General features: G+C 33.3%; 1 protein-coding gene and 1 long non-coding RNA gene across 19 annotated transcripts in view; one reads left to right on the top strand and one right to left on the bottom strand.

Moving 5' to 3' along the window:
- The window catches only part of LOC102724058 (uncharacterized), a 78,983-nt gene that overhangs the window by 4,728 nt on the left and 50,150 nt on the right, over positions 1-24,105 (bottom strand). Inside the window, exons 2-3 of the long non-coding RNA NR_110598.1 lie at positions 15,944-16,060; positions 4,444-4,556 (exon numbers count right to left, since the gene is read on the bottom strand). This is a non-coding gene — a long non-coding RNA (uncharacterized LOC102724058). The remainder of the gene's footprint in view (positions 1-4,443; positions 4,557-15,943; positions 16,061-24,105) is intronic.
- Positions 1-24,105, top strand: part of SCN1A (sodium voltage-gated channel alpha subunit 1) — a 164,521-nt gene that overhangs the window by 117,489 nt on the left and 22,927 nt on the right. For all 18 annotated transcript variants that reach the window (NR_148667.2, NM_001353949.2, NM_001353958.2 and 15 more), the window contains 4 exons: positions 15,946-16,066; positions 17,775-17,929; positions 19,391-19,564; positions 21,832-21,954. Coding sequence is in view for 17 of the 18 variants with exons in the window: in NM_001353949.2 (NP_001340878.1) it covers positions 15,946-16,066; positions 17,775-17,929; positions 19,391-19,564; positions 21,832-21,954 (573 nt within the window). In the remaining variant the exon portion in view is untranslated. The remainder of the gene's footprint in view (positions 1-15,945; positions 16,067-17,774; positions 17,930-19,390; positions 19,565-21,831; positions 21,955-24,105) is intronic.

Here is a 24,105-nt window from a genome sequence, read left to right as displayed (position 1 = left end):
TTCTTACAAGAATTACTACTGGTAACATACTCCACTATTTGTCTTTTTTTGTTGTTTGCCTTTTGCCCTCTGTAATAAATTGTTTTATAAGTTTATCTGGGGATGGTGATACATTTTATATTTTCTGTTTATTTTTAAATTGTTTTGATTACATTCTTGATATGGTAAGCTCCTTAAAATATTTAAGAAAATTACTTTTCTAAGGGGCATTCCAATCAGGAAATACAAACATGCAGAAACCTAAAGACAGGAAGCAAGAGGATGTATTTGGAGACAATTAGTAGTTTGGAATTCCGGGGGCGTAAATCACAGGAGCTGAGGATGAGATGTAGGTAAAGAGTCTTGGTTTCCAGGAAGCAAGAATAGACTGGTATGAAGAGATGTGGTGAACTGGAACCTCATATTTATTTTGCCTCTTACATCTGTGGTGAACTCACACCTAACTATCCTCCATTCCAGAGCAAACTAAGGGCTGTTTTTTCTACACCTTCCTCCTATTGGTCTCCAAAAGAAGAAAGGGAATAGCATGAGTCACATTTCATCCTCTCTTTAAGTCCTAAGAGACTTCAACCTTCAAAGTACATTCAAGTAATTTGAGGAATTGTTTTTTAAAACCTCAGAAAATTTCTTGACTCATGCCATAGTAGGAATAATGATAAGCTAGAAACATGAATTTTTATTGAACATTAATAATAAAGAATGGTGACTTGGACAGATCTGAGAGAGCTTTGAAGGCTGGGCAAAACTGCCAAGACTATGCAAAAGACAATATAAAATCTTATCTCCCCAAATAGAAAGTAAATTTATTTTGGTTTTGGATAGTATTTTATAACATTTCTATCCTCCGAAGCACCTACCACAATGCTGGGTGCATAACAGTTGCCCAATAATTTTTTGAGGTTTGGTTGATTTATATGGATACTAGATTAAGAGCTTATAAGCCTTAACTCTACTATGAGCAAATCGCTAAATCTATATTACCCCGTTTCCTAATTTATTAAATGAGATATCTGTCCTATGATGCTTATAGAAATGTTATGAAGATCTAAAAGCTATTTGGAAGTTAAAAATGTTCAAAAGTGTAAGGTGATGTCAAGAAAATTACTACTTAATTCCATTTAAATAAAAATTTTAAATAAATTGAGTTATTAAAGTTGTACCTTTTGGGAACAAAAAAGGCACATTACTAAAGTAATTATAAAAGAAATACATTTGTTTTTGCGATGAGTGAGCTCTAGAATAATGAGTAAAAATGTGAGGTCCTTAGTAATTCAGGTTATGTTAATAACAGCTATTGTTTAAATGTTCACCATGGACAAAGTACTATTGGAGGGCATATATTGTCCCATTCAGTCTTTATGCCGTAAGACACACTGTTATTCCAGCCTTAAGATGAGAAAAATAAACATATTTTGAACAAAGGAAAACTTGCCAAAGTTACACAAACAGTAAGTGGTTGGTCCTGGCAGTCTGCTCCATAGTCTGCTCCAGAGTCACGCTCTTAACCGCTACACTAAATCTTAATAGTGTCTGAAAATGTACTTTCTTTGGCATAGTTCTGAAATAAATAATACTATTTGTTGAAGAACTAGGTACAGGTGTCAACTATAGATTTGGTGTTAACTTCCAATCACTGCACATTGGGCATAGGTTAACAGCATAGTCTGGAGTGTTTCAGAGTCCTCCTGCTTAGTCCTGAAAGGTCCTGTTCCTCTGGTACTGGCCTGCACTTTAGGCTGATCTGCTTCTGCATCCCACACTGACCTGTGGTGGTCTAATTCTACTTAGAGAGCACTTAGTCTCCCAGAGTGTGATAGTTGTGCTTAAGGAGCATCCCCTTCTGAGTTTAAAGCTGCTGGAAGAGTCTTCCAAATCATTAGGAAGAACTTCTATGATGTATCATTAGCTTATGAGGTCTTTGAGAACAGGAAAAACACTAACCCTGTCTTCCCTTAAGTCCACAGCACATACAACATATTTATTAAATGAATGAATAAATAGGTGATGGGCAGTTACTTCTAGATTTCCATTTTTTCCCAATTATATCACTGATATATATGCATTTTAAATCTACTTGTTGCTTTGCTGATATTTTTCCATCTAATACTTTTATCTTACGTTATATGGGTTAAGGAACATACGACAATCTCCAACCTAAGCACATAGTCTCTAAGAGATGGCAACTACTCTCTGCGAAGAGTACTATCCATGGAACCCAAGAGTACTATCTCCACTACTTCTAATTGATCACTAGGGACTGCCAAAGCTACCTATCTTTGTCCACCTCTCTGCATTCCCAAGGCCTTTACCCAGTGTCAGACCTCCATCATCTTCCAGTTTTACTGCTACAGCCTCCAAACGGGTCTCCTCTCGCTAGTGTAGTCTTGACAAAACAATAGGTGGTCTTTCTAAAATGCAAATCCCGTAACCGTTCTGTCCTCCCTAACCTTTCAGGAGTTGCCCATTGCTCACAGTATGGAGTCTATACTACTTAACATGGGTACAAGTCCCTGCAAAACTGACCACCGCTGACTCCTTCAGTATCATGGAATAGTACACCTCACACCTCCCCACCCAGCTATACTAATCTTTCATTCAATGTAATTCCCTATGCTTTATCAGTTCTCATCGTTATACCTTTTCTCTCTGACAGGAATACTCTCTTACTCTATCCTGCTTCACCTGACTCATCCTCACCCACCACATCCTTCTTGTCCCAAATGTCACTTTATTCTACCCTGTCCTTCCTAGATTGAGCTAGGTGGTGTTCTCAATATACTCTATACTACTCCTATTAGAGTGTGTGGCAATTGCTTCTCTGTATCCTCCATCTGATTGTGAACCGACGAGGGCAGATACTAAGTCTATTATGTTCACTATTTTATTTTTCAAGTCCTAGTTTTGATGCCTGGCACATTTTTGGTAGTGAAAAAGTTCAAATATCAATAATTACACCTATTACAAACAATACAATACTGTGATGGAAATTGTTACCATTTATCAAATAAGCATACGCCAAACGTTATTCATGTGTTATCTTGTTCAGTCCTTATAACAAGGATGTGAAGTAAGAACCATTTTACAAATTAGAAACCTAAAGCCTAAGGAGGTCAGAATAATTGGTTAAAGTCCATAAAACCAGTGATTGTGATTCAAACTCAAGTTTCTCTGATCCTCTGAACAGTAGTACTTTCAACTCTTTCATTATATAGATATACAGTTTATTTGCCCAGTAGACACTTATTAAGTATGTTATAATTTAACATTAAAAATCAATGTCAAAATAACATTATAGAAGCTCTGTGCTCAATTTGGCAAAATGAATTTAACAATGAAAATTACTCATTTGATTTGCATTTTGGTTTCTAGCTTGGGGATTATAAATGCAATTTTTCAGAATTTTTTTGTTTTCTTTCCAATTTTTTTGTATTACCATGATTTTCTATTGACTCAATATGTCTGAAATATGTTGCTTTTGTTCCCTTATATTTAATTATTGATACAGAAGTTTATGTGTGACCTATCGAAAGCAAAATTCAGAGTAGTATATTAGAGCCGTATTCCTCCACGTTCACTTTTATACTGGGCAAGTGTTTGACTAAAGAATAGAAACAACTGACATTCTGTAAATATGAATAATCACTGAAGATTGTCCTTTCAACATACAGCTTGATGAAGAAATCAACTGGGAATAATGTGGGAATTAATGAGTTAATATTTGAGTTTTCTAGCTGCCCTGTGGAAATGTTGAGTCTCATTACAGTGTCTTTTCCATTGATATTATATTTTCCTTTGTTGAGAGTCTTTAATAGGGGTCATTTTAATTTTTAATATGCATAGTGTACAATAGAAATATTTACTAGTGCACAATGTACACAATGAAATATTAATACTAGCATTTCTGAGGTTGTAGAGAACCTCATTTTAGCATGACTTAGGAGATATATGTGTCACAATAGTAAAGTACCCAGCATTAAAATAGTACCTGTCCAGCTTTAAAAATAAGTACTTTGGATAATATTCTTTATATGTTAAATATATACATGTGTATGTTAAATATATATATTAAATATATATGTACACACATATATACATATACAAATATATAGACATCGCATGACCACATATTAAGTATGCTTTTGACCCTTAAATTCCAGATTTATTTATATTACTTATTATAATTTGAACTCCTACTAAACTCTATAAATAAGCTCCTTATAACAAACCAAGTTTAAAAATAAAAATATAAACATTGTAGGATCAAGTCAGAGAACAAGAAAAAAAGCATTTAATCACTTACTCTCAGAGAATATTGAAGAAAGTTTTCTTTGCCTTGCTTTGTTTTGCCTTACCCTCAAGGTCAAAATCATTTGCTATAGTAAAGAGCATTGTTAAAAAACAAGAAATTTGCATAAATCCACTGCGGAGGAAAACTGCTCTTACCATCAGGGTTGTAGTTATTAAGTGGTTATTGAATGCCCTGGTGTACAAGGCAAAGTGGATGCTTCATATACAACGTGGTCTCTGCATTCTGTCAGCTCACATATTAAGTCAGCCTGCCAAAAATACATGGATGATACAAGTCAGTGTATAAGTGTATAATTTAGCTATTAAGATTCATGTGTGAAAATATACATATTCTTAAATAAACTAGCCTATTTAGAAATTGGTAAAATTTAAGGTTGATTCATGGTTTAATAAACATTAAAATAGATTTTAAGAAATATTCCGGGAGGCCGAGGCGGGCGAATCACGAGGTCAGGAGATCGAGACCACCCTGGCTAACACGGTGAAACCCCATCTCTACTAAAAATACAAAAAATTAGCCGGGTGCAGTGGTGGGCACCTGTAGTCCCAGCTACTTGGGAGGCTGAGACAGGAGAATGACATGAACCTGGGAGGCGGAGCTTGCAGTGAGCCGAGATCACGCCACTGCACTCCAGCCTGAGCGACAGAGCAAGACTCAGTCTCAAAAAAAAAAAAAAAAAAAAAAGAAAGAAAGAAAGAGAAATATTCCATTAATCTCTAAAACAGTGAGAACAAATTACTTTATTAGTGAATAGCAAATTTCAAAATGAAATTAAATTTCAATCTAAGAACAAAAAAGGAAAAATTAATTGGCCTTACTGATTTTTAAATCTGTAAAAATACTTATTTGAGAATATTTTAGTTTTGCCGTTATTGAATTTCTTTAGAATTTTATATGAATTCGTATTTCATGTGCTAACATAGAGGTGGACTTTTCCTACACATCTGAAGAGGAGCTTTTCCTTCCCTTTTTGAGTATTTAATAATAATAGTGTTATTATCCCAATCAAATAAAGAATTGGACCACTTCATCTTTTATCTCAACCGTTATAAGAATATATTGATGCAAATATACTGGTTATGAAGGTTTTAATACAACTTTTTTAGCCTATGGTAAAATATTTTAAAAAATAGATGACAACATTTAGATTTTGGATAATATTAATAGCAAAAGTAAATATGACTGTATATTATCTCAAAAAACATATTTACAGAAAATTTTTATTTTCAAGGGTTCATGGAATATTTCTATAAAAGTAACCATATACTGGAGTTCAAAGTAAAGCTCAATAAATTTAAAATAGCTGGCATATAGGGTTATCCAGTCACAATGTAGTTAAGCCTGAAATTAATAATAAATTGATAGAAAGAATTCCAACCATTTGAAAATTAAGAAATTGCCTCCTAAACAAATATTGAATAAAAGCATAATAAAATACCAAAATAGCTATTTCAAAAATAAAAGCATTTTATGTCAAAATTTGTGGAAGAAGACCAAGTAGTCATTAATATGACTTAATATTACTAATATGATTAAGAAGGGATGAAAGAACCTAACAAATATCTTTGAGAAATTAGAAAAGGAACAAAAAAGGAAGAAGATATACATAAAGAGAAAAAATAGTGAATTATCAATGTAGCAGACAATATTGGTATAACAGGTTATGGTTCTTAGGAAAAAAAAATCAGTAAGACACACAAACTTTGGTGTATCAGGCAGAATTCTAAGATGATCTCAATGACACTTGCCCTTGTATAATCCCCACTCCATGAGTGTGGTTGGAACCTGTGGATATGGTATCACCCTTTAATTACATTACATTTATGACAAAAAGGGGGATGATGCTGGGTGGGCCTGACCTAATCAGGCAAACTCTTTAAATGCACAGTGATTTCTCCTGCTATCACATAGAGGAAGCTGAAAAGATATGCTCTGCCTGGCCTAGAAAAAAGCAAACACCCATATTGTAAATTGCATACAGCAGCCATGTGGCCAGAGACTATGGGTGGCCTCTAGTTGCTGAGAGTGGTTCTGGGCCATGAGCTGGCAGGAAAGTAGGAAGCCCAGTCTTATAATTATGAGAAATGAACTCTGCCAACGACAGTAAACTTGGAAGAAGATCCTGAGCCCTGGAAAAGAACTGGATTTCCAGCCAACACCTTGACATCATCTCAATGAGACCCTGAGCAGAGAATCCAACTAGGCAGTGCCAGACTTCCGACCTACAGAAACTGTGAGTTGGTGAATGTATGTTAAGATGCTGGGTGTATGCTCATTTGTTACACAGACACAGAAAACAAATACATTTGGCAAATAATCCTTGTTAGGAAAACTCAAATGATTTTCTATGTGTAAAGAGCAATTGCAATCAAATAAGAACACTAATACTCCAATAGAAAAATAGGCAAAAGACCAAGCACCGTGGCTCACTCCTGTAGTCACAGCACTTTGGGAGGCCAAGGTGGGTGAATTGCTTGAGCTCCGGAGTTCAAGACCAGCCTGAGGATCAGATGCTGTCTCTACAAAAAATACAAAAATTAGCCGGGTGTGGTGGCATGCACCTGTAGTCCCAGTTACTTGGGAGGCTGAGGCAGAATTGCTTGAACCTGGGAGGTAGAGGCTGCAGTGAGCTGTGACTTCATCACTGCACTCCAGCCTGGGTGACAGAATGAGACCTGTCTCAAATAAACAAACAAATAATAGTCAAAAGAGACAAGTCATAAAAAATATAACTGGAAGACAAACCTTAAGAAATATTACTCCTAATTGTTATCAAATAAGTTAATATCAAAACAATGGTAGTGTAATTTCTGCTTTTCAATTTGGCCAATAAAAAAGAAGAAACAAAAGCAAAACATGAAAAGGAAAACAAAACAAAAACCCAGGTAAATAATGCATTATGCTGATGAAGGAGATCCATGAGACAGATACTTAACACAAATCTCAGAACATGGTATCTTTCAATAAATGTTGAGTAATTGAATATTTCATATACAGCTAATAGTGAAATTAAAAGCCCAGCTACATGTGGATGGTTTCTTTGTCTCTAAGGTGGGAATAGCTATTTGCTTCTCCTTGGTCAGAGATGATCACAGGATTTTTCATTTATTTATTTGTTTGTTTGTTTGTTTGTTTTTTGAGACAGGGCCTCACTCGGTCATCCACGCCAGAGTGCAGTGGCGCAACCACAGCTCACTGCAGCCTCAACCTCCTGGGCTCAAGCCGTCCTCCCACCTCAGCCTCCAAAGTAGCATGCACCACCACATCCAGCTATTTAAAAAAATTTTTGGCCAGGCGCGGTGTCTCACACTGTAATCCCAGCACTTTGGGAGGCTGAGGTAGGTGGATCACCTGAGGTCAGGAGTTCAAGACCAGCCTGGCCAACATGGTGAAACCCTGTCTCTACTAAAAATATAAATAATTAGCCAGGCATGGTGGCAGGTGCCTGTAATCCCAGCTACTTGGGAGGCTGAGGCAGGGGAATCGCTTGAGCCCGGGAGGCAGAGGTCACAGTGAGCCGAGATTGCGCCATTGCACTCCAGCCTGGGCAACAAGAGCGAAACTCCGTATCAAAAAAAAAAACATCATTTTTTTTTCTTTTTTTTAGTAGGGACAGCAGGATCTCACTATGTTGACCAGACTGATCACAGGACTTTTTTAGCCACAGTCCCAACATGTTACCCAGACTGTGCAGGCCCAGCAGCCATACCCACTCTGAACTTCCTCATCCTTTTCTCCTCCTGAGTCCAGATCTGCTCCCTCATCACCTTCTCATCAGTCCTCACTTCATATCTCTCTTGGATTTAAGACTGTCCAAATGTATCATTTCAAATTCTCAAACACTACAAAGTCATAGAAAATTAAAGCTGGAACTTTAAAGATCATCTCTTCATTTTACATATTTAAAAAATGGGCTAAAGGAAGAATTATTTGAGCAAAGCCACGCAGAAAGTAAGAGGTCAAACCAGGTCTGGGTTTCTTTCCAGTTTATTGTTGGTGGCTTTCTTTCCACTACTGTGGCCTGGGCCAGGAGAAGGGTGAAAAAATAAGGTTGTTGGCTCCACTGGAGGCCATAACTTGTTTTAAAAGTTCTTGGAATAGTCAATTCAGAAATGGTGAGTGACAGATGTGGTTTGGCTGTATAAAGTAATTTACATCATCTACTTACTCCATATATGGATCATTTTACCACATGATAATGTATACACATATTCTGCATATATGCAAATAAAATGACCAATATGCATACTTATTGTAATGAGGTATAGCTATAAAATATTCATAGAGGCACCATGTTGAATTTAAAAAGAGCTTTAAAGTTGAGAATTTTGCATCCTAGTTTGTTTTTTTTTAACCTATTGTGTGCTTTTTGCCAAATCAATTATACTATCCAGGTCTACTTTACCAATCTGAATATTGCAGTTTTCTGAGGTCATGTTCAATTCCAACTCCTCTCAGCTTCTAGTAAAAAACCTGAGTATAATTTGTCAAGTTTACCTGATTGGTAGTATATGTTTTCACGTAGCAAAGCTTTCACATTTTGCTGCTTCTGTAAGCCTGGTTGTTGGTACTTAACATTAAAAAGTCAGAACTACTAATTATTTATTTCTTGAAGAAAAAAGAAAACATTGTAACTTTTCTAAAATGATTCGGTGTGACATGATCACCAGAGTGACATCCCATTACTTTTGCCACATTGTATTGGTTAGAAGCAAGTCACAGGTCCTGCCCATACATAAGGGCAGGGGATTATACAAGGGCATGACAACAGTGGCCAGAAATTTTGGAGACCATCTTAGAATTCTGCTTACTACAGACTGTCATGAAGAAAGCATGTTTGCAGACATAAAGAAGAGATTCTTACATGTCATTCAACATACTGTCAATTCTTCAAGTTTATAGATTAAACCCCTGAAATAACTTTTTTAATACCCACAAAGATACTGTCTCTTCACTTGGTATTACCCCGCCCCCCACCTAGTTACTAGTGGTGTTGGTGACAAATTCTAAACTTTAAGAGCCTTTTTAAAATAATAGCTCTTTGCATTAGCTTAGTGCCAAGTTGTTTCATCTGAAATTGCTAAATCTTGAAGATTTTTTTCATTTTATCACCTTTTTTCCACTGAAATTCATGATACTAAATTCCACATAATTTCCCCTATATTCACCACACATATTTTTTCTTTCATTTAACATCATCTTCTTAAATTTGGGCATGCATTTCCCCAAATTTTGATTCAATTATGGTTTTCCAATACATTTTCAAAATTTTTTAAATTTTCATTTATGTATTTATTTATTTTAGAAATGGGATCCAGCTATAATGCTGAAATTGTTCCCAAACTTATAAGTTCAAGCAATTCTCCTGCCTCAGCTTCTCAAGTAGCTGGGACTATAGGGAGTTTTCCAATCTTTTAAATAATATTTTAATCAAATTTTTTCATGTATCATGCATAAATTAGATGAAAGTGGAACTTCCCTGCTTGAATTAAAGCCTTCAGCCACTTAAGGCTGGAGTGAGATCTCTGGAGAACATTGGCTGGAAACACCTCTTCTGTCATATTAGTAGGACAGATGCCTTTCATTGCAACATACATACTGAATGTTGGTATAATTGTTGATTGAAATTTAGCTGTACAACTTATGATCTGCAGATGATAGACTTTCTCTAAGTTCTAAAGTACATTAAAGACTAAGCATATAGCATTTTAGAAATAATTTATACAAATTATGTGTTTAAGCTTAATGCCTTTCTTGTTTTTATAAACTTACTATCATCTTTGAGAAGGTCTGGGTGACTTTTATATTAATGTTTTTATTTATTTTAATCTATTGACTATGTAAAAGGTTTACTATTTGTTTAATTTAATTTTAATTTCTGTATTGTATTCCTTATTTAACATGCCAATCAAAACTCTTGTTGTTCCCCATGTTTTGGCTAAAAACAGTTTAGTTCGGTCACTTGTGAACTTATTTTATTTTGTTTGTTTTTCTTTCCTTTCTTACACTAATGCTCATTTATTTACATTATATATAAATTTCTAGAAAAAGCACTAACACTTCTCTCAGGTTATCATAGTTTATCTAGAGTAATTCATTGACATAAGCCCCACTGCTTATGGTTTAATCTTTCTAATAGTCACATGTCACTTTTTCTGATGTTATTATGATTTGAAAGTAGGGGAAAATTCTTCTTACTATTATGAGAATCAGGGTCTATCATAAGGGTTAGCCATGATGTGGCTTACCAGCCTCCCTTTGCAAAATGCTGACTTGCGAAGTAGAGCTTAAGCCAAATATGAATACCATTTTTTAAATCTAATTTTTAATCATATATTGTTCCTGAAAGATGTATACACTTCTCTGGATCCCAAACATTCAACTGCTCCATTTATTTACAAAATAAAAATGACATGTATAAAAATGTCACTTTAGGTGCCTTGTTCCAGCATGGGTTCATTGTTTGGAGTGCTACATCAATGTTTTAGCATGAGCTGCACTTGTAATTCATCATCTATTATTTCTGTTTAGTTTTTTTTTTCCCCCAGAGGACAAATATCTTAACGAATCATATAAAGCAACCTGAATTTAGTATCTTCTCAGAAATTTATATTTGTAACTATTTAAAAAGTAAATATTCACACCTAATTTTATGGTTTTTTAATGTACATGTATCTATGTGGGGGATTTACCGGTGTTACGTTTATTCAATGATTTTGACTTAGTTTTTATAAATACAACAACACTTTTTAAATGCATTTTTCAAATTCTACAAGATTAAATTACACACTTACAGTATTTTAGAATAGTGTAAATTGATTTGAAAATAAACATAACTTATTCTTGATAAGCATACCATTCAGCTGGTGAAAATAGAAATGTGCAGATATCCTAGGCAGTAGCCAACGACCTGAGCAATTTTTGCACATCAAGGTCATCAGTTATTGTATTTTACTGAGAAAACTGCAAGTGTCATTAATTTTGTAAGTAAGTCCATTAGAATGAAGAGAAGTTATAATAAAATATATGCCCAAAGTAGTCCCTGTAAAGTGTTGAAAGGGGTTTAAATAAGAGAGCAATTATTACTCTTCCGCAATGATGGGAGGAAAAATCACTAGGAGAAAAAGTCAGAGAACATTAAGAAGTTCACCTTGGGCCGGGCGTGGTGGATCACGCCTGTAATCCCAGCACTTTGGGAGGCCGAGACGGGTGGATCACAAGATCAGGAGATCGAGACCCTCCTGGCTAACATGGTGAAACCCTGTCTCTACTAAAAATACAAAAAATTAGCCGGGCATGGTGGCGGGCGCCTGTAGTCCCAGCTACTTGGGAGGCTGAGGCAGGAGAATGGCATGAGCCTGGGAGGCGGAGCTTGCAGTGAGCCGAGATCGCGCCACTGCACTCCAGCGTGGACGACAGAGCGAGACTCTGTCTCAAAAAAAAAAAAAAAAGAAGTTCACCTTGATTAACATACAGCTTCTATCTGTGAAAGACAAATTTGGGAGATTTGGTTGGAACTCTAAGTTGAAAACAAAAACTTCATCCATCACTAATATCTGAAACAGAGGTATTCATCTATTCATTCATTCACCAAATGTTTGTTAGTCATTCACCATACATACACTAAGCTTTGTGGACCACAAAGGTCTAAGTCACATGAGGCTAGAATGAGGATGGCCATTTTTATTTATAGTTAAACAAAGAAAAGGTAACAAGAATAAACAGAAATTTCATAGGAATTTGGAATCTGACTGAGAAAATAGTTATTTCAGAGATAAAATAAGGAAAACTGACTTTTGATTACTGCCAATGTTTGAAATAAGTAAAAGTAAACAAAAAAATTTGAGTCTGGGTGCTGAAAGAGTGATATTGCAGAATCAGGAATTTGGTTAAAGAAGTATGTTTAAGATTGTTTAAAAAGTCATTACTTAGATTGAGAGCATACTAAATTTGAGTATTATTAGGCACACCTCCACTTTCCTACAGTAGTTCAGACAGACTGTAGAATATACTTATATTGCTTAAAAAATGTTTTAAAATTAATTTGTAAACATGTAGAAGATCACTTGTCTAGACCTGCGAACTTTCCAAGTGCAGATATTCCATTGGAATGCTAATAAGGGCATTTGATCATCTTTTAAATCACCTTAAAATTTCTGAAATATGGAGTGACTCCAAGCTCTATGCATTAAAAAAAGAAAGCACACTTAGAAGTATATTGTATCCATCCATTGTGACTATCTTTGGCTTTGCCATTAATGTTTTACAATTTGGAGAAGTAACACTATTCACCAATTCCTGGATCTACAGCCCACCCATGGTCCCAGTTTGTTTATAAAGTAGTCCTCATGAAATAGCAAAGTTATTCAGAAACATTTAACATATTTTAAATATAAGATAATTTAGAGTTCATATTATCTTGTAATGTTCATACAATCATACAGTTCATACAATCTTATGTTATTAATATCCACTACATTCTTCAAGAGTTACCAATGTAATATGGGTACTTACAAGCGCTTGCTCATGTACTTAAAATTAGTAGTAAGTTTTACTTTCCTAACATTTAGTAGACAGGGTAGAGTTCGTGTATGTCCAATTGCATGCCAACTCTTATATTGTTCAATTTTCCATTTTGATGTTATTCTCATATTGTGTTACATCATCATTACACTATCTTGGTTGAGTAACTCAAAGGGATAAAATAGGAATGGAAATCATATAAACTTAAAACTCAGGTTTTTTTGTGAATTGAGACTCTAATGAAAAAACATCAGAAGAACCATAAATCTACATGTATTTTTAAAAAGTAATTCTGTAAGAGTGACCATCTTAGGTAAGCATCCTAAAAATAAATGTCTAAATAAGAAATATAAGATGAATATCTGAATATTAAAACTTATTGAACTGTTGATCTATTTGTCTTCTTCAGAGAATGCCATTTTGAAAATGTGTCAAAAAGTAACATAAGGTCTTTTGGGTTCTCGTAATTTTCACAGAAAATAGTCACAACTTAGGTAAGTCAGATAAGTCTTTGTCTTAGAAAAAGTAAAAAACAATGCTTTAATTCATAAAGTGAATAAGTGGTTTCACTTAAAGGCAGAATAAAAATCAATGCTTCAGAGGTATCATTAAAAGTAGTATTCCTCATAAGAAAACAAATATGGTTGGCAAAAAAGCAAAACTAGTTATTGGCAATACTTTATTATCAGTGTATCAGTATACTTTAATATCATGCAATAACAATTGCATGATATTACTAGTAATCAAGGAAGAACAATTTTTATGTACATGTTCATGCCAGGATCTAATTCACCTTACAATTGGATAAAACACTTATGTGCAAAGAATCAATCATTTATCTGTGGCACTTACATGAAGATTAATTACTGAGCAACTTTTTGTTCTGCTTATTACTGACAACCTATACTGATGAAGAGTAGATTTTTATGCTAATATTCTATTATTTTGTGAGTCTTGGTATAGACTGGAAAACTATGTGGGGATCAGACCTAGCAGATAACAATTATATATATAGAAGGTAGGTTTGCTATTATAATTCTTTGTACCTGAATGCCTCTCCACACAAATTTATTCACAGGAAATAATATCCTTTCTAGTTCTTAATTAATTTTGGCGAAAATTGTTAAAATTCTCAAATTCCACTCTCTAATTGTTTCATGAAGAATGGGCATTTGCTTTTCTACAGTGAAGAACAATGGGTGATGAAATGTTGCTCACATGGTTTTTATAAAGTATGTAATGAATTTCATTATGTCCCGGATAGTGCCAATCAAGGTCATTTTTAAAATATGAAGGCACTTGTTGAAGTGACAAGTCTTAGCCTATCACTTTACGGCCAAATGATGAATCTGTGTAATGTTGAGGATAAGACATAAGAATTTCTTCAGAAGATCATGTGATGTTATGAGTAGTTTGATTGAGAATGTGACTAACGCCTGCCACTAGGTGATTCTCTTCGTTTGTCAGAGGAAGAAACCAATGACTTATTCCTGGATATGTTTTAAATTCAGTGCAAATGCTAGAACAGAACACAAAGATAGTCAAAGCTAAATGCAACCCGAAAGTAGATTATGATCTATTTACTACTGTCTATCATGTTGAACAATCAACTTTTCAGCTTCTGAGCATAGTATGCAGGCCTATTTAATGTGTTAGAATGTTGAAATTAGTCTTCAGTGAGAAATATTTTATAATTTCAAAGATCATCTTCAACCTGAATTCACAGAGCTATGACAGAGCTACATGCCATTATAGGTCCTAATTTTCTGTAACTGTCAGGTAAGTTTTTCTATTTTAAGAAATTAAAAGGAAAGGAAAGAAGGCAACTAGATATGGACCCAGACATATAAGCTATCCTTCTTCAAGCAAATACAAATATTTCGGTGAAACTTTTACTGAAATATCAACACTCTCCTATGTATGTGAAATTCATATTAACAATTTTAATATTGTGTTTAATTTTTACTATTTACAATATCGTGATAACGGGTTGAATGGCTTGCTGCTGTGTGCACTGGAATGCCTATTGTCGGGTCTACATAAGCCTGAAGTTTAGAAAATACTGTACTAGATTTGATACTCCAATAAGGACAATAGATATTTCAGTTATCAGTGAATACTCAGCTGGTAGCATATTGTTGGTGTTCAAAAAATATTAGTTGAATAAATTAATGAATTAATTACACTTGCCAAAAACTTATAAGCCAGTTTGCTGGTCTTCAGAAAGAGCGTCATGAGTTTTTCCTATCTTAATATGTTAGTTAATATTTTCTATTATCTCTGCCATCTTTGTCTTCTGAGAACTCTAGAAAGAGAAATGTGCATCCCATCACTATTGTCAAAATATGAAGGATATTGTTATTGTTGTTGTTGTTTAACTAGATTTTGTTCTTTCAGCTTCACATGGCACATTAACATAAACATGATTTGTCAGAGGAAACTGAATTTTCCCACACACTATTTATCTCATTTTACAACACTTCAGGCTCTAAAATACTTGCCAGAAATTGAAGATGTCTATTTAATATCTCTAAGGTTGTTTATTGATGTAATTTTTGACATATTTTATAACAATTTCTCTCCAAATGACCACATTTATAGTAAATAACTCTGAACACCTTAACCATGAATCTTAGTAACATAAGTGAAAACAACAGGTAGTATCTGTACACACAGGTAAGACATTGTTAAAGAAATATGTAAAGTCAAACATTAAACTGCAGAATAACCTAACGACATTATTTTCTTCTAAGGTAAGCTTTCTCTTTCTCTCCTGCTCCTTTTCCCTTTCTCTTCCTCCCTCTTCTCTTCCCTGTGTCCCCTGCTTCTCTAATCCACAAGGCAGTGTTTTGCTCAGTACATGTGGCTGATGGCCTTTTGTAACCTCATAACATAGCAATCTGATTTCAAGCTTACATTGTGAATTATGGTAAAAGGGTTAGCACAGACAATGATTTTCTTATTTCTTCCCCTTATTCAATCTCTCTTTTTCTCTAAAAATATCTCTACCTCAAGAAGAATAAAAAACAAATTCATAGTAATAATCCTTTCTTGGCAGGCAACTTATTACCAAAATTAAAGGACTTTACTTTCTATGTCCATCTCACTTACAGAAACTGAATGAAAGCAGTAGCTCATCAGAAGGTAGCACTGTGGACATCGGCGCACCTGTAGAAGAACAGCCCGTAGTGGAACCTGAAGAAACTCTTGAACCAGAAGCTTGTTTCACTGAAGGTAAAGAAAAGAATCCTAATGTTAATCTTTCATTTGGAGTGCAGCTTGTTTAGCTGTTGGTCAGCTAAAATAAATCACATATAATAAAATGGCACTTTGTAATAGATATAATTCAATCACCTCTAATATGTTGACAGACAAAAAAACTTAAAGTCTAGTGTCATGCTTTGATTATATCTGCCCAATATGTGGAAGAGATTAAGAACATGGAGGAAAAATATTTTAGTACCATCAAAACTTCTAACTTATATTTTTAAAGTAAGTAGTGATTTCACAATAAGTTGGCATCTTAGACACTACTGAAAATGATCCTACACAGAATTTGCCTTAAAAGTAACTTTCTGACTGCTAAAACTAAACGGATTGCTAGTGCTAAATTGTGTTTCTTTAATGAAAACATCAGTTTCCAATAATTGTTGGATGAAATGGGGAATAAATACTGCCCTAGAAACTCTATACCTAAACAGTCACTAGTTGAGCCTGGTGCAGTATGGGCAATAGATAGAAGAGATATGTTTTTCCTACAACTAATATTTCCTGTGGTCTGATATCCCTGGGAATTTGAGGTTTGGAAATATGCATACTTTCTATTTGATGTTATTTTTTCATAGGCCTAGTATACCTTCAGTCTTCTTCTATTCCCTATACAAATCATGCATATCACTTAATGTCCTTTTCAAAACTGCCCTCATCTGACCATGGTGGAACAGCAGCTTGTTCCTCTGAATGGCTGTAAGAAGTATTTCCATTTAATTTACCCGATAATATACATTATCCTATGAAAACTCTTTCTCTTTTTGAACAGTTACATGTTACTTTTCTATCTTTTTTCTCTTCTTTTCCTCCATTCCTTCACTCCTTAGTTCCTTCTTTCCTCCTTCCCTTCTTTTCTTCCTCCTTTTCTCCATTCATTCCCTTTCTCCTTTTTCTTCAAACATATCTTTTCCTCCTTTTTTTTTTTTTTGCCTTGGAGCAGGGATCCTGTATTTATATCTTTTTCTTTTTTTTTTTTTTGAAAACCAGATTTTTTTTGGTAAGGTTCTTGGGAGTAAGGTACATGTTCGGTGCCTTTTTGTGTGTGTACCTAAGTGCCTTTGTGCTTACAATGGTACTCAGAAGTACCTGTTGATTGCATTTAGACTAAGTGAAAGCAATGTGTGAGGAAGGCAATGAAAAGTCAAAGCCAAATCATACAAATTAGCTTTTAGTGAACTAAATTAATTATGCAAATTACATAAGCCCTTCTAGGCACATCACAAAAAATCCTAAATGGTAACAAATGCAGCATTGTTGGAAGAGATCTACATTTTTACTCTATATCCTTTATAAAAGGGAAGTTTTCTGCTTAACATTATTAATGTCCAATTTAAAGTTCTTTTCTGGAGTGACTTCAACAGAGTGCAACAGGATGATATGGTACAAGGAAAAGCTACCTCACATTTATTTGTAATTTACAAAGTTTCTCTTGGACAATAACACTGTGAGGCAGACAAAGCAAATACTGTCCGCTAGGGCATCATTTAAAGTGGCTGAATGTTTCCACAACTTCACACAGCTGATGAATGTGCTCTTACTACTCTAGGCTTAGAGAGCTATGCTAGCAAGACAGAGATGAGCATAGTAATAAAAAGACAAGACAAGGACATTGCTAAAGGATATTATGGAAGCAGAGACACTTTATCTACTTTTATTTCAACACTTTCTGCAGGCTGTGTACAAAGATTCAAGTGTTGTCAAATCAATGTGGAAGAAGGCAGAGGAAAACAATGGTGGAACCTGAGAAGGACGTGTTTCCGAATAGTTGAACATAACTGGTTTGAGACCTTCATTGTTTTCATGATTCTCCTTAGTAGTGGTGCTCTGGTGAGTGAGATTAAGAAAAGGTGATACAGCACTAATTTTTAGAACACTCTAATACTGATGACTTATTAATCCTTTGTTTCATTGTCTTAGTATCCAATGCATTTTTAATTATCCCACCTTGTATCTTCTATAGATTTACTCTATAACTCTATATTTCTGGATTAACTTTTACTATGTATGTAAATATAATTTTAAGAAGCTAATCATTAATTTTTGCTTACTATTAAATAGCCCAGAAAGTGTAGCCCTTCAGCTTATTCATTAACACCAAAGGATGTGAATATTCAATTACTCATTGTTTAATTAAAAAAAGTTATTGGAAGCCCTGGGATGGGAATATATATTCTCTGAGTTCTGACGAATTTTGTTTCTAAATGGTATTTATTATTATTATCTCTTGATGGACAGTAGTAAGTCCTTAGGGACCACTTCTCTGTCTTTTTCCAATTGTGTGCTCACTATTTTTGTGCTACTTAAGAAATAATGAAAGTTGGTAACAATAAATATTGGGCAGCATGCCCAAGAGATTCATTTAAGGATGGGTTTATCTTTATAACAAGGTGTTCACTTCATCAGAATCAATTTATTTTTATAGGAAAATTATTTATAAAACTATAAATAAAACATACAGATAGCATTTTAGGGAAACACTAACACAAAGGAAATACCATAGATAGAAAAAGAGAAAGAAAGAGAGAGAAACAGAGTTTGCCTGATTGAAATGCAAGTGTGTTACAAGTTTAACTTTTTATAATTCTAACACAGACATATATTTACCTGTAATTTTTCTGAAGAAAGAAATATTTTCTACACGCTACTTTAGAAGTCTTTCACCGTTGAAAGGAATGCATACTTAGAAGTGAAACATCGAGAGGTTCATAATAGAAGAATATATATTAGAATCTAAATGAAAAGTAATTTCATTTAATCATTGTCACACTGTATGTCTGTTGAGAAACATAAATTATTAAAAAAATAACAAACAACAACAAAAAAGAAGCAGATGAACCCAACTATTTAGTCAAATTGGAGACTGCGAAGATCAATCACAATTTCTGCTTTACAAAAGCACAAGCTTTCATTATTTCTTCAACCTCCTTTCTATAGCAAAAAAAAAAAAAAAAAAAAAAAGCCAATAGAAGGAAGCAAAATAAATGAAACAAAAGGAATACATAACTTCAAGTTGGGATGGCCACATCAGGATACAACATCAAGAACTATTTCCTGACTAAGTCAAATTAATTCATTGGAATCATACTTTTCTTTTTCTTCCACCAATAGTCTTTCCCCTGATTAAATAAGTAAAAGACCTTTGCGAGGAAAAAAAAAAAGTAACAGTAACTACTGTTTCTCTGCCCTCCTATTCCAATGAAATGTCATATGCATATGATTAATTTTTTAAATAGCTTATGGAGTATAATTATTTTTGAAAGCTAATAATGTGTAACATTTTCTTTATAGGCATTTGAAGATATATATATTGATCAGCGAAAGACGATTAAGACGATGTTGGAATATGCTGACAAGGTTTTCACTTACATTTTCATTCTGGAAATGCTTCTAAAATGGGTGGCATATGGCTATCAAACATATTTCACCAATGCCTGGTGTTGGCTGGACTTCTTAATTGTTGATGTAGGTATCGTTCATATTTTTGTCTCTGTTCAAGGTAGCTTGTCTTATTTATATTCAAATTCTACAATAGTGAGTCTCAGACCACTATGTTATGTTGACAGACTATAATAACCACTAAACGCATATATGCAATGAGAGTGTCATTTCTGGAAGACAAGGGCTAATTTAATTCTGATTTAAAATAACATTGGGGGATGGAATCTATGGTAGTTCTCTAGTTATCTGAGAAAGCTAAAGAAAAAACAACACATCAGCAGTTTGTAGGGAAAGTAGTGAAACAGGGAACTTAAAAGGTATGTTGCTTAAATCCTTTATGTTGTGAGTCAGACAGACTCAAGTTTGTATCCCAGGACCATCACTTGTTGATTTTGTGCCACTGAGTTAGTTTCTTGGCCCCAAACTCTTGACCCCCAACTTGTACAGTATTAAAGGCACTCAATAAAAACAGTGATGCTGTTGGGTGCTACAGTCATTTAAAAAAATTCTATTTGATCTACTCAAACTTTTTAAAGAGTAGATTTAAATAGTAGATTATATGGATTATGACTTCATTATAGGAAGTAAGGTATGTAGAGTGTAGGGAAAGAGAAGTCTACTTTATTCAGCAGTGAAAGTTTTCCTAGAATGTAAACTAGATTTACGGCAAGCCCAAACAGCCCTTTATAGAATTTGTATCCCCAATGATTAATACTGCATTTACTGAAAACAAGTGACTGACTTCAAGATGTGTTAAAGTTAAGCATCATGTTTTCTATTATCAACTTGGCAAAATTTCAGCTTTAGAAAGCTACAGCAAAACTATCCTGATTTCATATTGAGTAGTTTTACCCCAAAAAGATACTAACCCAGCAAGACTATGAGGGTTTCTTGTGGAAAGTGTTTCTTGAGCTAAGAATCATGAATGCATTATATTTCCTTGACCCTGAACAAAGGCAAAACTAAGCTATTTAAAAAACTTAACAATGTTACTGTGAAATGAGCCAATTGAGAGAAATCTCAAAGGAAGAATTGCTTTATCACATCAATAAGGGAGAAAGTTTGTAATATTGAGGTTTCAAGCATTAGAAGTTACATTATGTTTCAATTTCAGAATTGTTTACACTATAATTTAAATCTAAATGTAATTTAACCCTTTAAAACTTCCTGAGGTTTTTTTTCTATTATGTTTATTACACATCAGCTTTTTCATGAAAGTTTTTTAGTGTCATTTTTGAAACATTTTAAGAAAATAATTTTATAGAAAATTTTGTAGTTTGTAACAATAATATCTTTATTTTCAATGTTCTGTTTTAATTCTTTAATGAAGATCAGTATAGCACTCTATAAAAGGACTAATTACAGCACATCTCAAATAATGTAAGAAGTATATTAAATATGATACAATTAATACATTTTAAAAAAGAAAAGTTTACAAAAATAGTGTGCAGTATATGCGGAATTCTCCAATACTAGCATCTTTCTAACCAAATAAGTTATAATCTTCCTTGAATACAAAGTTTTAGTAAATTCCTTATTTAGAGAATTAGATACGTAAGATTTTTCCTTTAGTCATGTATATTACCTACAAATGAATACAAATGAAGTAAATTTATTGCTGTGTGTATTTGGTAAATATTCATTGATTGGCCCTTTGGGGCCAGATATCATGGCAGAAGCCATAAATTAGTATAAAAAATTTTGAGGAAGTTTTGTAATGGAATTTCTTTCTAAGTTACTTATGTAAAAATAAACAAGTGAAAATGCAAGGTATTACCAAGACAAAATATCACCTTCAAAACTGATGTAGTTCATTAATTTCTGAGAATACCAATTATGATTAGTTGAATATACTGATGCACAGTAGAAACTTCCTGCTTTTTTTAGTACAACAGCAGTTTTTGTATTTTATAACTAGCTACAAGAAAAGCCTTAAATTCAACAGCAACTTAATAAAATAAAGGAAGAATAGCCAATGAATTTTTTTCCACCTTGATTTCTTCTTTTATTTTACTAATTTTTACTTTGCTTTTTTTTTCTATTTATTCAGTTGATAAATTATATGACATTTAAGGATTTTTTTTCAACTAGCTTTTAATTAATGTCCTAAAAATTACATCCTTTACATCAAACTGAAATTATTTCTTTAATTTTTTAAAGGTTTACTGAAAATGTCTGAACATTTATCCTCTGAATAATTATAAGCAAAAATTATACTTGTTGTATTATATAGCAACTACACATTGAATGATGATTCTGTTTATTAATTGTTATTATTTTTGTGTGTGCAGGTTTCATTGGTCAGTTTAACAGCAAATGCCTTGGGTTACTCAGAACTTGGAGCCATCAAATCTCTCAGGACACTAAGAGCTCTGAGACCTCTAAGAGCCTTATCTCGATTTGAAGGGATGAGGGTAAGAAAAATGAAAGAACCTGAAGTATTGTATATAGCCAAAATTAAACTAAATTAAATTTAGAAAAAGGAAAATCTATGCATGCAAAAGGAATGGCAAATTCTTGCAAAATTGCTACTTTATTGTTTTATCTGTTGCATATTTACTTCTAGGTGATATGCAAGAGAAATAGGCCTCTCTTGAAATGATATAATATCATTTATCTGCTGTGCTTATTTAAATGACTTTATTTCCTAATCCATCTTGGGAGTTTCCTTACAAATCTATATACAAAAAAAAGCTGATGCATTATTAAAGTACTATGTGTAATGATATAATGGTAATCTAAAGTAAATTCTATATCAGGTACTTATTCTTTGTGATGATATACTGTACTTAACGAGTTTTCCTGAAAATAATGTGAATCACACATGTGCCTAAGTATGAGTGTTAAGAAAAAAATGAAAGGAGTTGTTAAAACTTTTGTCTGTATAATGCCAAAGTTTGCATTATTTGAATATATTCAAGATTAGATGGTTAGATATTAAGTGTTGACTGAATTTATAAAACTAGTAATACTAACTTAAAGATTACATACAAATCCACATCATTTTTATAACAATAAAGTAAAACACTTATAATGAACAGAAAATATAATTTTGACTCATTACTATAGGTAATTTATACATTAACCTTAACTTGCATCTTATTGGTCAGAGTCACACAAAATGTTATTTTATCCTTTTCAAAGATGCAATAATCATTTTCCATCATGCATAACAGATTAGAAATTTTGCCATTATTGACTTATTTTCCATGCCTTTTTTTACGGCATGAAGCATTAGTTTATAGATATATAATATAAAAAATTAGTTCTGCTTTTTTTTAAAAAAAAATATTATCAAAACAAAACACTGAATTGTGTGATTCCAATAGAAAAACACTGCTCTTTCACCTCCTAAGGTGTAGTTACTTTTATGGAAACTAAGCTGTATTGTAGACTTCCATTTGCACTTTGTAGATTGTTTATAGCCTTATGTTCTCTTCTCAAGTCTTATTATAAATGTCACTTTGTAAGAACGTAGGACTTGTCTTCGATTTCCCTAACATATATGAAAACTTTGTCCTCATTATCGACAACTCAGAACAATATAATACAAGTAGTCCTCTTTTATTTCTCACAGAGAGCCTCAAATTTTCACCAAAATGTTAACAGAAATTATCTCTGGGGTGTATAAGAATTAAGTCTGTTTTCCAATTAAATGTCACTTTGTTTTGTTTCAGACTGGCAGTTTCAGTTCTGGAGAAAAAAAATGTCATTTGTGTACATTCTACTTGAAAACATGTTGCCTGAATCAAAATAATATATTTTATATGGCTTGTGAAATCTGAACAATGCTAAACATTTGAAAATATTATAAACCTTTTACATTTGACCATTTGAAAGTTTATTAAATTCATTGGTCAAGTGCTCAGATATTTCCATACATTACACTTCATTTCTATAAAAAAGCTGATCTTATCGGTATACTTTTAATTTTCTCAGAAATAACCATATCTATAATTATTAATCAATAATGCCTTTTATATTAAAAGAGGTTAGTTTTTGAAACTTGGAGTTTTAGACATAAAATCCTTATAAATGCTGATAGTGATATAACTAATAGTTTAAATGGTCAGATTTATGAATATGGCTCTATTCCTCATAATGACAACATACACACAGCACTAAAATGACTAATCTCTTCAATACGTGTTTGGCATTGTAGAGTCAAAATAACGTTATAATTGATTCTATTTTTTATACTTCTAGTGTTTGGATATTTTATTTTGTAAAAATATAATCATGAATGATGGTGAGGTTGGATATAAGAATGATGATTATGATTGGGAAGTGAGATTTGAACATGCTCAGAAACTCTCATTTAATTCTTTGCCCTAGCAGCATAAAATCACAATAGCTGCGTCAAAGCGTAACTCAGGCACTCATTTTATTTTTGTTGTTCTGTTATTTTTTCAAAGCATGTGCTTTTATGCAACATTACTGAATAAAGCATGTTGTACAGTGCTTGATAAGAAGTTAGAAAGTAACAAATAAATTATCATCACGTTGCACTTTGTGTTTTGCATGTTTTATGCACATTTCTGGCTGACAGCTTTTAAACATTTATT

Source organism: Homo sapiens, chromosome 2 (assembly GCF_000001405.40).
Source record: "Homo sapiens chromosome 2, GRCh38.p14 Primary Assembly".
NCBI lineage: Eukaryota > Metazoa > Chordata > Mammalia > Primates > Hominidae > Homo > Homo sapiens.
This window is presented reverse-complemented; position numbering and strand designations above follow the sequence as displayed.